The sequence below is a fragment of the Homo sapiens genome, chromosome 1 (genome assembly GCF_000001405.40).
Source record: "Homo sapiens chromosome 1, GRCh38.p14 Primary Assembly".
NCBI lineage: Eukaryota > Metazoa > Chordata > Mammalia > Primates > Hominidae > Homo > Homo sapiens.
In genome coordinates this window covers 111,243,441-111,257,937 of record NC_000001.11, presented here as the reverse complement: position 1 = coordinate 111,257,937, position 14,497 = coordinate 111,243,441, and the positions used below count along the sequence as shown (strand labels likewise).

General features: G+C 45.5%; 1 pseudogene; it reads right to left on the bottom strand.

Moving 5' to 3' along the window:
• Nucleotides 1,222-6,926, bottom strand: CHIAP1 (chitinase, acidic pseudogene 1; annotated as a pseudogene).

Here is a 14,497-nt window from a genome sequence, read left to right as displayed (position 1 = left end):
AGGGGTTATCTCTGGTAAATGTTCAGATTTAACCACATATTAAAGAACTCTGTTTATGAAACACGGCAAAAAGTAGTATAAAGTGGAAGTGTATAAATTCATGTCATATAACTTCAATACAATAGTAATAAAAATACTTTATAATAAAAATTTTAAACCCACACAATTGCTAAATGAATTGGACACTGGAACAATAGTTAACCAGGACTTTCCCGAGCAAACAGAGATGTATAGACATCCTGCTTATACTCCAGCTAGCCAGATGGGAGGGACAAAATAAACTTCTGGGGATTCTGCTTATGACTGATTATGACAGTTTTGTCAAAAGCGTATAATCCACAGACTCCCTCCCTATCCACCAATAAACAAGTTAAGGTGGCTGGACAAAGAGGTGTCTCCCTTGCTTGGTGAGCTGCATTTTTCCTGCCTTCTGCAGCATGGTAACTGGGGAAAAAGCCAAGGCCAGGCTCTGGAGGTGGTAGGAGAAAGAGGACCTCTGACTCCTGCTGTAATGTGGTTTTTCTTCTAGCTTTCTTATTGCCTTCCCTAAGGGAATCAAAGGGTACGTTGCAGCATGGTGTGGCAATAAAATGATAATAAATGAATTTGTTTTGGAAATGAAGTAATCTTGAAATCATCGGCGATGGTCTTTTTTCCTAACCTCATAGGTGTGGAAGAGGTGTGTGTAAACTAGCCTGTGGTTAGCCCATCATGCTTTGTCTTTAAAACACAGGCTTTCTTAGGGTTGTTTGCCATGGAGTTGGGAAATGAGTAAACTTCGTGAAGAGTTCCTAAAGAGGGTGGATGCCGTAAATTAAGTGTTCCAAGTCCAGCCACTCTTCTGGGTCCTTCCGCAAGACCCTTTGAAGGCATATTTGTGAGAAAGAATGAGGCTTTATTTTCTCTTGTTCCTTAGAGCCTATTTCCTCTCTCGTCCTGCTTCAGGAGGGGCCAGAGTGCCAGAACTTCCCATAGAGATGCTCAGAGAGGTCCCAGGTACCTGTTCCTCCTTCTCTCTCAGCCTCAATGTTTGGGCATCTCCTGGGAGCTTGTGGACAACGAGGATTAGGGGGTGGCAGTAGGTTGTCTTTTACTTGCAGGATAGTATCACACAGATTTATAAATCAAAACAGACAACTTGGCATTCACATGCAAAACTTCCCTTTAATCATCCTTTAGTCTTACAATCTCCAAGGGACCCAGCAGGTGAATAGCTTATGCCCAGTTACAGCAAGAGCAGCTGGTATCAAAGACCAGGCCTTCCTGACAAGCCTCCTCGTATGTGTGCTCATCCACACAGTTGTAGAAAGCATGCTTGCTGGTGGGACTAGGATACAGACCTTTGGACTTCCCAGTACAGAATCCACTGCCACCTGTGCTGCCACCCCCAGGTGCTGCAGTGATGATGGGGGCCAAGCTGGTGCCCAGGATAGAGGTGGGTACTCTGCAATCTGAAGAGAGAAGGAAAATGGTCCCCATAAGCTCAGGAGAGGACTCCTTTCCCAGGATGAGTGTCATGTCTGTAAGGTCACTGTGGGTTTCTCTCAGTACACATCCTACCTAAACCAGTGGTTTAATGCTCTGAGCCTGAATCGAGGATACCCAAGTTCATAGCCCAGCTCTGCCATGAGCTATGTGACCATGAGAAATTCATTAACACTTCTCTGAGCCTCAATTTCCTCTCTGAAATGATGGCATAATTGTATTATCTCTTAGAATTATTAGGTAAAGCATTTTCCAATGTGCACGCTATATAACATAGTGAGTACCACATAATTATTAGCTTTTATTTGTAAGTAAACTAATACAGCTGGCACCAAGAGTGCCTATGAGAATTATACGAAATCTAAAAGAACCAGCAGGCTTGACACGGAATAAAGATCCAATCATTAGCACTAGCTTTTTCCGCAGCTTCCCAGCCCCTCTTTCTTCCTGGACTTGCCCTGTTCTCGGGGCTGGGATAGAATCATGTGTTGAGACCATCTGTAGCTCTGCTCCCCACTTCAGGAAAGATGCTAGCTGAGCCCCTTTAGAGTTCTCCTTCTCTCATTCCTTTCCTCATCTTCTAAGTTTTTAATCCCTCCCTTGCTTTTTTTTTCCTCTGACCCACAAAGTTCATAAAAGCTGGAGCCGAGCAGCAGTGACAGGGAATACGGTGTTTTTGTCCCCTTCCCTACCCAGGCTCCAGCATGTTCAGTTTACTTTATAGAAGCTTCCCTGAGTAGCTCTACAGAGGAGAATCCTCCAGAATATTGATAGGTCCCCTTTTACTTGCCAGGGCTCTCACTCATGGCCTGCCCTTTAGTAAGTCCACTGGGTCTTGCTTTCTGGGTCCTAAATGCAAGTTCCAACTGGACACACTAAGACAGCTGGAAGATCTGGAGGAGGCCTTGTTTGAGGTGAGACTGGGAGGAGCTCTGGTCTTCTCTTCCTCTTAACCATGTCTAGTTTGTTATCTCATGGCTGTTAGGTCATCACTACTTACTGGGTGCGGAGACACCAAGCGCGGATTTGAGTGCATTCATGAGAGGGTATTTGCCTCATCCACAGAAAGTGCCTGTGAAATTATCCAGGTCAATGGCCCAGACAATGGCCCCTCCAAATCTGTTCTTTAGGAGCCACTAAACCAGAGGAAGAGAACCAGGGGGATTCTGGGCTGTCCTTGCACAAATGCAGGGAGTAACTCCAGCAGGATGGCAGGAGGACCATGATCTAGTCATGGAGAGGAGAGACTGGGGGTGGGTTTTGAGGAGGCAACTTTGAGGAATTCATGAACATATTTGTATGTACAGGACTGTAGGACTAAGTCACAGAGAATGAGTCTTGGCCCCAAGCAGCTCTTACCCCCTGCCCTTTGTTATCACCAACCACCTTCTGAGAAGGCACCTCAGAGCTGGAGTTTGGGTGGGTTGAGTGCTATAGAGATATAGGGCCCTTCACAAAGCAAAGTACCTGGGCAAAGTGAGAGGGCTCTAGATGGAAGGTGTAGGGTGAAGGGCCCTGGGATTGATAAACAGCAATTATGTCCTCCCCAGACCTGAGCATAACCTCACAGACCAGAGGCTCTATCGCCTCCCGATTTGGGCTCAGCCTGTGTGAATTTGCCATGGGCAGGAGATAGGCAAAGGAGAGCAAAAAACTCTGTGGTCTACACTTTGTCTTTGGAGTGGGGAAGAACACCTGTATCAAGAAGCAGGAAGCATGAATCAAAGAGCTGCATGAGGACCAGAGAAGAGCAGGGGAGGGGGCCAAAGGAGAGTCTCCAGGGGTGGGAAGAAGGAGAAAGTGCAGGAGTCAAGGAAAGGAAGGAAAAGGAGGTGAAGGGGTTGCTCCAACTGTCAGGCTCCGTGGCTGGGTCACTGGCTCACCCTGAAACTTCACAACCTCTCTGTGTCTCTCCTCACCTCCCTCAGGGGTCTCCTGGGATTGCAATTCAAGGGCAACTGGAGGGTAGGTCCCCCAACTCTCCCCAACCATGCATTAGGAAGAGTGTGGAGGGCCTTACCTTGAGGGTGAAGCTCTTGGAGTTGTCGTACCTGATCCACTGGTTCCCCTTGTAGACATAAGGCACCTCCCAGGGGGCATTCCACACCTAGGTGGCTCCTTTCGGGAAGGAGTAGAACTGGGGCAGGTACAGAAGGAGCAGTCATAACTCAGATTGGCCCTGCTGTACTCAGGCCAATTCTCTGTCCTCCCTCCATTTCTTTTCTAAGATCCTCATCCCAGCCCATTCCCCTTTGCTGGAAATAATAGAAACTGGTTCCAGTGTCACCCAGCTCCCTGCCCTGCTTTTGTCCCATGGGACAGTGGAGTGCTCTAGCTAGAGAGATGAGACATGAATTCAGTCCTTTGTCTGCCAATAACCTCATGTGCAACAATGAACAAGCAGCTTCCTTATGCCTTGTGTCCTGGTTTCCTTTTGAAATGAATTTGTTCCGTTTGAAAGAGTTGTGTCTCAAAACAGCTAATAAGAGGACAGTATAGCATAATGGGTAAGGTCTGAGATTCTGGAGCTGGACAACTTAAGTTTGAATCCCAGCTCTGCCACTTACTAATTCTGTGACCTTGAGCAAATTACTTAACCTCTCTGTGCCTCAGTCACCTCTTGAATAAGATGGGGAGAATGCAGTACCTTATTGTTTGTTAAATGAGATGATATATAAAAGTCACTTGGAGCACAACCTGGCTCTCCATTTGCACTCAGTAAGCATTAGCTAGTTCTAATATTAAAGATGCATGTTTACTTTAAAAGGTTAACATTTAAGATGTTTTATCAATCTTTCACTCTTCCTTCCTCTCACTGCCACATATATTCAGAGCAGTCAGCAACAGGGTACCCTCTACTGGAAATCAGAGTGTAGACTCTCTCCATTGACTTATCTTCAACCTTGAGAACAGAGAGAGTGGGTCCTCTAGGCCCTCTGAGGACATTACCTCAAAGTAGGCAAGGGTTCCAGCCTCCTGTGTATAGGGCCCAGAAGTCCCAGGGCCAGAAGTGGGAGCATCCAGGCCATGATTGGCAGGATTACTGAGAGTGAAGGTGTGAGCATAAGCCCCAAAGCCCACCATCAGCTTCTCAGCAGAGGCACCTTGGCTCTTCCAGTAGTTCATTGCCTAATCCTGGAGGCAAGATGAGGAAGATATCATGAGAAAGCAGCTGAGTATGTACCCAGAGGCCTTGGAACAGCCAGGTTTTCTGCCTAATTCCCTAGTATCTCCAGGTACAGCATCCAGTCAAACCCCTTCCACAGTCCAATCTCATTGAAAGGAAAGGAGTGCTGCCCCTTCTAGAATGGGTGTTAAGAGAGGTTCATTGCTTTAGTAGCAGGGCCCAGTGTTAGCCAGAGATCCTCTTTTTCCTCATACTGGAGTTCATCTGGGGCATGACTGGTGTTCAGCCATGCATCCACTTGTCTTCCAAATGGGCTTACTACAATGCTGAGAATTGTTCGTGCATGGAGCATCGACTGGGAGATTTTCCCATGTCAATTTTTAAATCCCTGGTTGAAATCTCCACTGAAATGACATCTAGCCCATTTACTCACCTACTAATCATTAGGCAGACTAACTATTACAGCTGCCTAAACCACATAAATTAGGAAGAAAGAGGGTGGAAGGGAGGGAAGGAAGAGTGGGAAGAAGATGGATCATGAGATGTGCTCCTAGCATAAATGGAAAATATATTTTTTAAAATTCCCCAATGTTTGGGATTATCCCAAGCCACTATTCTGCTTCCTTTTTTGTGAAAGATGAATGGATACAATCAGTCACAGGGACAGGGAGGTAGAGAACATGAGCTGTCCATCAAGTTTCTTGGTCTCCTTTGCAGTCTGGGGCAGGGGATCCAGTGACAGGCTTTGAAGATGTCTGTTAGGACTGGCTTCCTCACTCACCATATAAAAGTATTTGTAGTCTCCCTGGTCATTAGGTCCTGCAAGTGGGGGTGTCCTCGCCTATGAAGCCCTCCCAGGAGCCCCTTAGGTCATAGGTCATCAGACTGATGAGGTCCATGTACCTTAGGTAGCTGGGAGAGAGAGCAAGAGGAAATAAATGACCCAAGGGAAATCATTCTTTCTAACCCACTACCCCTAACACTCCTAGTCCCAAATCGGCTGATTGCAGATTTGACAAACAGCCAAATCTGCTGTTTGCCACTATGCAATAAAGTTTCCCTTATGCATTGTTATTCTTTATTCCATTCTCCCTCACCTTCATCTCAAGAGCACCTGGAATATAAAAGGCACCCATTCCATGATCACTATCTGGTTACACTCAGACCTTCAGGACTTGTAGAAGCTTGAGACTCAATTAACCTTCTCCAAATGGCCGTTTGCCCTAGAGAACCTTGGAGATAGACTTAGAAACAAGGCCAGCATTCATACTGTCTCCCTCTGCCTCTTCCTCAGGAATTGAGGTCATTTCATTCCTCTGAGATAGAGTCCTCTCTATCCTGGGTACCTGAGCATTGGTCACTGGTATCTGGGCATTTGACAATGCCCGGGGAAGGTCTAAGGGTCACTTAGCTCTGAATATGAGCTCCTGGGTTTGCTTACCTCGACATCTCAGGGATCTGGCAGGCAGTCTCAATGGTACCTTTGCCAGCTGACACAGCAGCAGACATCAACAATCTGGGCTTTTTGCTGCGGGTAGACTCTTGCTCAAAAGCCTCATACATTTCCTGTGAAACAGAAGACACTGAACACAGGCTAGAGGGACAAGTGGGCATGTGACGAGGTCACAGCTCTTATGAAGAAAGCTGCAACGTGCTCGGTTTAGAGTCCTTTGATCCAAAAGCTGTTGTTGGTATCTGGGGATAACAGTAAGCTGTCTTCCGAAAACTTGGAAATGAGGGAAATTCGGTCATCCTCTGAAAGTTAAATTTTAAAATAAACAAATAATGTCCAGAGTAGAATTTTATTTTAAAAGGAGGGAGATTGTATTAAAGAGACAAAAATGGCCTCCAGCACTGCAAACTGTATATGTGATTGCATCTAATCATCAGAAAAAATGGAAGAAGGGGAAATAAGAGCATCGAAGCTAACATTGGTGCTCAAAGATATACTTCTCACTGCCAGTCGGAGTTTTCCCCAAAAGAGAGATCTGCTCTTACACTAAAGAGATGAGGCTGTGAGCCAGAAAGGGTGAGATCCACACCCCTGGCCAGCATATATTCAGCCTCTCTCAGAACCCCTCTCCAGAACTCCCAGCCCGCTGTGGGCCAGATCATGTATTCTTTGGACACAGTGAGGGTGAGACACCTTCAACAGGATGGTGAAGAGCTGCTGGGTGTCAGCTGGGCTGCCACGATTGCCTGGATACTCCCAATCAATGTCCAGCCCATCGAAGTTGTACTTCCTCAGAAACTGTATGGCTGACTGCATGAAGGTCTGGCGGTTCTCAGCAGTGGCCGCCACATCAGAGAATCTGGAGTCAATAAGTCATTGTAGCCTAAATCACAGTAGCCTAAGCTCCTGAATACTCTGTCTTGCCACTTATCCGCCTTACTATTTGCCTGGACATACATTCAGTTATTCTGTCATCTATTGTCATTTACTGTCATTCAGTTATTCTGTCATTTATTAACATTGCTGGGATAGAGTGGTGAATAAAATAGTTTCTGCCCTGGAGGAGCTCATATAGAGGAAGGTATAGATAAGTAAATGGAACTTAAAATACAGTGTGGTATAGGATGACTATATAGTTAACAATAATGTATAGTTTCAAAGGGCTAAAAAGAGGATATTAAATGTTGTCAACACAAAAAAATGACAAATGTTTGAGATGATGAATATGCTAATTACCCTGATCTGATCACTCTACATTATACATATTGAAACATCACTATGTATCCCATAAATATGTACAGTTATTGTATGTCAATTAAAAAACTAAGTTAAAAATAATATAACAAAAAATCATGAAATGTCCAATTTAAAAAAATAGTGTGGTAAGAGCTATGATGAAGGAAGAGCAGACTTCAGGGAGACCTGGTCAGAGAAGAGTTCTGGGATGTCTACACTGGGGTCTGAGGCCCGGGGTTCACTCACTTTAGAGAAACTTACAGTCCTTGGAGCTTGGAAGAGACTGATTAATCTGGAAATGATTCAATCCTGAATGCTAGGTCTTATCCCTGGGATCCAAAGTTCCAGCCACCAATAGACAGCGAGGTTTTCAGTTCTGTGTTGCTGGAGATAAAAAGATACTAGTGTAAAGAAATTCCACTTGAAACGAGCTGTCATTTGCCAGTCGGTCCCTCCACCCTCACATTCCACACAAGGCCTTTGTGTTGGGAACAGAGCTCTCTGTAGGATCAAGGGGCCCTTGTGCCATGAGTCCTCCAGGGCACGCTATAAATAACTCATTGAGTAGGTTCTTGCTCCCATCTCTGCCAGTGGGCTGATGGACCCTGGTGCAGAAGGGAACTTCAGGGAAGAAAAGACAGGGCATCCTGGGGAGGATGAGGGAGCCAGATATCAACCCCTCAGCACAGAAAGTAGATTGGCTGGAGCTTCCGGGATACACAAGGCCAGAAAGCTGGAAGTCTGAGTCTAGGAGAGAGCAAGGAACACCGGCAGTGGAAGCATCTACCATTTACTGAGTGCCTGCTAAATGCCAGGTACTTTACACGCATTGCTTCTTTAATTCTTATAACCCCACAAGGCAGAAGCTGTTAATATCATTTGACCTTTAAGTGGTATTCAGAGAGATGAAGCAACTTGACCGAGATCATCCAACTCGTAAGGTGGCAGAGCCAGGACTCACACCTAAGTCCTTTATACCATGGTCCTGTGAGCTCGACTATAAAACCTACCCATTGGATTCCTGATGGGACAAAAGCATCAACTTAGCTGATAAGGTGATCTGGCCTTCCTGGGTTCTGTGGGCTAGGGAAAGCTTTTAACCTCCCTATGACTCAGTTGCCTCAACCTTAACATGGTTTTAATATGCCCACTTCATTGCATTTAATGTGTGGGTATATAAAATAATAAATGAAAAGCACCTTGCACACAGTAGTTACCCAATAAATATGCTAAGCATTTAGCTGGTGCAATTTTAGGTTAAACTTTAGGTTAAATTGGCAGCTAGTTGATAGGTTGTTGTGGGGCTGTACAGCAACATGGCAAACTTCAGGGGATACTATTCACAGAGAATCCTTTGTGGATGGCACCTCCTGTGACACACAGAATAGGATGCTGGGGAGTTGAATTTCTTGGAGAAAAGAATCCAGAAAAATGACAGCAACCTGCCTCTCCTGGGGAGAAGGATGCTGAAGGCTCTACCAATGAAGCACGGCATGAGAGTGACTGTGGACAGCATTCAAAGGCTAAACATTCTGCTGTTGGTATCTTTTGGGGAACCCTCTCATGGGATACTTACCCAGCTGCAGCAGGAGGGCCAGACCTAAAGACAAAAAGATCTTGGTCAGAGGGTGCCAGGGTCATCCTGTCTCTGGCTGGGAAGGGGCAAGCCTATGGCAGCCATGGCCAGTAAATGGGGAAAGGGAGATGGGGCTTGACGCCCCCTCTGCTCTATAAACCCTTTCCCAACATAGGCTACTGTATGACATATTTGGAGCAGGTGGCTAATGTAGGCATTCACTTGGCTACCCGGAAGCTCAGGTGATGGTGTGTGACTCAGGAGCCAGGAGGATGTGTTGTTATTCTTTCAATAAACCTATATTAATTACTGGGTGGTAGAGATCAAAAAACTACATAGGCAGGGTCCCTCCCCTCAAGGAGCTCACAGCCTGGTGGAAAGTCACACCTGTAAGCACATAGGTGCAATGCCATATGACAAGTGATAAAATTGAGACACAGAGGTCAGGGAAGACTTCCCAAGAGAGGTGACCTTGGGACTGGAACTCCCTGATGTCCCTCTAGGCCCCTTTGACATCTGTGCTTATCCCCATCACAGCCCTTACCACACTGAAAGATGATTGTTTATTGGTCTGCCCATCAGACTGTGAGCTCTGTGAGGGCAAAGACTGTGCTGACACGGCTGAGTCCCCACTACCCAGCACACAGTCAGCTCTCTATCAATATGTGTTGAATGAATGGACCCTAAAGATAAGCCAGATTGGTGGGGAGGGGCACAGGAGGCATAGAAGGTGAAGAAAGGGAGATTTCAGGCAGAGGGCCCCTTCCCATAGCAGTCTCTTCACCCTAGAGCTACAACTCATCTTTTCCAGGAACAACTACACTCTGCTTTTCAACTCAGATGAAGTTTTTAAATTGTATCCTTTTCCAAGCCACCCAAACACACCCTGGATGTGCTGTTGTGCCATCCCAGTGATCACCCTTATTGGGCTTCTTTCTACAGTTTGGTCACTCTCTCTGGGAAACAAGTTAGCCATGGGGGAGCTGCATTAACTCTTTGAGGCCTTTTCTTCCTCTCTCCCAAACCCCCTCCTATGCACCTGCTCCCAGAGTTCTACATTCAGAGAAACATCTGTCTTATTCATTTTTCTACTAATTGCTCCTGGTAGTTGGTTAATCTTTGATTAAGTGAGTGTCTTGGGCTCCTGCTCTGTGGCTGGCACTGAGCGGGAATCACAGAACACTGGAAAGGGGTTGGGGTGGGGGCTGGCCTAAGTCTTCTATTATTTCACGTGGTGGAAATGGCCTTGTCCTGGTCTGCCAGAGTTATCCACTTTCCCTCCAGTATGAAGCCCTAAGGTGCTCAGTGAACTCTTCCTTACTTCCCCACCATGTTATGAACTCAAGAAGGCTGCAAGAGACGGAGGAAGGACAGAGTGCAGGCCTTTGGAACATAGGATAGGGGAGGAGACAGCAAGTGAACTGAGGAGAACAGGCAGCTGCTCTGAAAGCTAAACTCAGCCTGCCTGGGAAAGACTCATCAGCAAGAATCAGCAGCTTGCCCATTTTTCTGGGAAGTCCTAAATGCAAGTTCCAGGTCTGAGTGGGGTACTCAACAGCTTTTATAGGGAGCATGCAGGCCCTCTCATCCTGCACCTGACCCCCTTCAGCAGGCATGATGGGAGATCAGGAATAAAGGGATAGGGGTGGCATACGGCTCCCCTTAGCTCTCTGAATCTTATCTGTGTTTTCCATCTTGGGTAACCAACCCAGGGACACATGGGAAGGCAGCTTTAAAAGGCTGTTGACTGAAAGTTCTTTGAGGAAAATGGCATATTTGGCACACGTATGAGGCTGACCTAGAGTCCAAAGTCATTTGGGGTCAGAGTAGGTCCCATGTGTCCAAAGAGACCAGATGGATGCTAGCAGAGGAGTATGGACAAAGGACATCAAATAACCATTTGACCGCATTCCTGGATAAACCATCCTGGGTGGGTTTATCCCTGCCCAGGCCCTAATACCTTGATTCTATTATAGCAATAGATTTGGGTAGTGGCTACAAGAAGTTTGTGAGTTCTATCAAGTTTGGCATGAGAAAGCATCATTTTCCAAGGTTGTTTCTGTTTATTCAAATGTTGTCTGGTTTACAGAGGACAGAGAAAATTCACCTGGGACAGACATTTCTAATTATGCTTTGACTCAGAAAGGAGAGGCAGCAAGCCCTGGGACAGATCCCGGGAACAATGTATATCAGAGAAAAGACAGCTGCAAAAATGCCCAGGGATCAAGGCTTTGAAAATCACAATATTTTAGGACCCACCTCCTTCCACTCCTTCCCCAGTCTTACTACCCATACATAAAGGGATGCCACCTACAGGAAGCCCACCATGATGCCACATCATAGGTTTCTAGACCATTTCTGAGGGTCCCTCTGCCCCAGAAGACAACGAAAGTACCAAAGATGTGATCTGCTGTCCTCCAAGGCAGGCCTTTTTAAAAAAACCTTTGGTATTGACATTAGCCCCGAGGCATCGACATAGCCTAACTTAAATGAAATCCCATCTAGGAGAGAGTCTTGCTGCTGGCTCCACTCCCAGTATATGCCAAGATACCTCCTTCTTAAGAGATCTGCCAGGTACATTTTCAAGATTTTTCTGGGAGATGCTACTCAGACCATTGGGATCTTTGAGGCCGGATCCGTTTAAAGGCAAATTAGATTCACAAAGAAAACAGAAATGGGTCCTACCAACTTTAGTACATGTGTATGGTTGTGCAGAGCTGATGGCATTTCCAAAGCTATTTATTACCTAAAATCTGTCCCCATCCTTCCCAGGCTTTTGACTGTTTAGCTTCTGTCTGAACACTAGAAGAATGTCAAAAACTGGAGGCATTGACTAACTAGAACTGGAGCAGTGTTGAACACAATAATAGCGAACATTCATTCAGCACTTACGATGTGCTAAACGCTTCATATGTATTAATTCGTTTATTCAAAACTATCCCTTCAGGAAGATGCTATTACTGTCATCTGTTCTACGTATTAGGAAAACTGAGGGACAGGAGACTAAGCAAACTGCCAAAGATCACACCGAGAAGTAGCAGAGCTGTAATCCAAGCGGAGACCAACTGGGGCCTGGGTTCTTACGACCTCCTGACTCTCACCCATACTGCCCCTGAGCAAGTCTAAGATATGGTTCCTCCTTGGCATAAGACTCTTAGCCTACAAAGATCTCCTCAAAGGGGTTGTAGTGGGTAGGGGTGTAGGGGAGAGGAAAGGAAAGTAGCGGAGAGGAGAGGAGAGGAGAGGAAAGGAAAGGATGACCAGAATCCATCCCCAACCCCAGCCAAACAAGGGGCCTTGATTTCCTTAATCTTCTCCTGGATGTTTGCAAAACAAATGGTTCTATCCTCACAGTAAGCATGAGAGAGGGCTCCATGAGTTCACGGCTTAGAGCCCAAGACATAGACCTTTAATGGGCTCTTAGGCTCCATGCAAGGCCAAGGTTAATGTGTTGGGCAGCTGCCCATACTCTCTCTTGTGCCCGTTACAGCAGCTGGATAATGGAAGTGTTAAATTAACTTTGGCCTGAGGTTATCTCTGTAGTTTGAGTCCCTCCTAATGATCTAGAACCTAATGTAGTATGTACATAAACTGAAACCTAACTTAGAAGTATATTTTTTTGTAACAGTAACCAGATCTCAGCCAATCAGAGGCAGCCAACTGATCAGACCATGTTTAAATAAGGCAAACTCCTGGCTGTGACCAATTAGACTATTTCTCTACTTTCTCTTCTGTCTATAAATACTCATTCTCCATATTGCAGAGGACAGCTCTCTGAACCTCTTCTGGTTCTGAGTGTTGCCGAATTCATTGAATCATTCTTTGCTCAAATAAACTCTGTTGGATTTGTTTTATCTAATGTTTTCCTTTTAATGGAAATAATAACAAACACAAATAGTATTTGTGATGTGTCGGGCATTTGCCCAAATGCCTTACAAATATTAACTTACCTAACCATTATCATATCCCTGAGAGGTAGATATTGTTATTATCCCCACCTTAAAAATGAGAAAGCTGGGGGCACATAAAAGATAAATAACATGCCCAAGGTCACATAGCCACTAGGTTGGTAACAAAGCCACTGTGTGTGAACCCAGGAGATCTGGCTCCAGACTATGTTCTTAATTACTCTGATCTTCTGCTTCTTGAGAATTCAATTACCATAGGAAGCAAAGTTAGAAAGCCAGAGTTAGAAAGCCAGAGAGGTGCCCAAGCAATTTCTACCTTGTAGTAAGAAGATCTGAGCACTGGAGCAGCATTCAAGGGGACCTTGGGGACTAACTTCCCTTAGTATCTGTCAGTGCTTGCCATTCCCATTCTTTGGTATGTACGTCTGGGGTTTTCCATCATAATAGGATATTCAAAGCAGTTTTGAAAAAAGTCTCCTAGTATTCCCACCTTATGCTGCTTTGATCGTGTAGCCACCTCTAATGCCCTCCTCCACGGACATTCTGGTGCAGCCGCCTTCTTGGATTCAGTCTAGTTGCCACCACTTATCAGACATGTACCCTTACAATGATGCCCCAGTTAGCTCATCTGAAAATTGGGTTTATTATCACTAACTTCACAAGCCATGAGAATTAAATATGTGCATGAAACTGTTGTTCAAAGGTCAGGATAAAAGTGGCTTTTCTAGACGGAAAAGATTGGAAGAAATTGGGAAAATGGGGGAAAACAGTTCATCCTAAAATTAAGGAGTCTGACACCGGAATCAGTCTTAGACCTGGTGCTGTGAGCACCGTGCTTTAGAAAAGGGGTTGGCAAACTTTTCTGTAAAGGGCCAGAGAGTAAATAGTTTAGGCTTTGCAGGCCATACCATCTCTGTCATACTTCTCAACTCTGCCATTGTTGGGAGAAAGTAGCCACAGACAATATGTAAAAAAAACTGAGTGTGGCTGTCTTCCAATAAAATTTTATTTACAAAAACAGGCAGTGGGCTAGCTTTGATCCATGGGCCATAGTTTGCTGACCCTCCTTTGGAGGGTCCCACTTGGGCCCTCTTCCAGTTGCACCCCTCCCCACAAGGTAAGGAGACTGCCAGGCTAGGAGCACATTCACCTAAAGCTCACATACCTCCTCTTCTAAATCATGATCCAGACATCCAGCATTTCTACCCAAATAGCCAGAAGAGCCTGTGCGCTCTCTCAGAGCCTGCACATGACTTTTCCCTGGGCCCATCTTTACTGAGAGTGGACCACAACGCCGGTGTGCACATGCATAGCCCAGAGGCAGGTGTATGTGTGTGTGGGTGGGTTTGTGTGTTGGAGGTTGAGGGTAGAGGGTAGAGTGCAGATGAAGCTTGGATACAAAGCCTACAATGTCCACAAGTATGCCCATGAGGCTCCTACTGTGAGAGACAGAGGCAAAGATGGGAATTCTGGTGTGGTATTCTAAGGAGTCTGAGAATTTTAAATTTTCAGGTTCTGACCTTCTAGGTGGTTGCAAAGTTGTATGTGTTAATGTTGGAGCATAAGTCATATTTTAACAGCATGTTAGCTGTTTTTAATATTTAAACATGATATGCAAAACTTCGTTTTCACCCTAGCTCTGGATCCCACAAATAGCAGGGACAGAACAACCTGATATCACAGGGTCAAGGACTGAATAAATGAGGCCATAC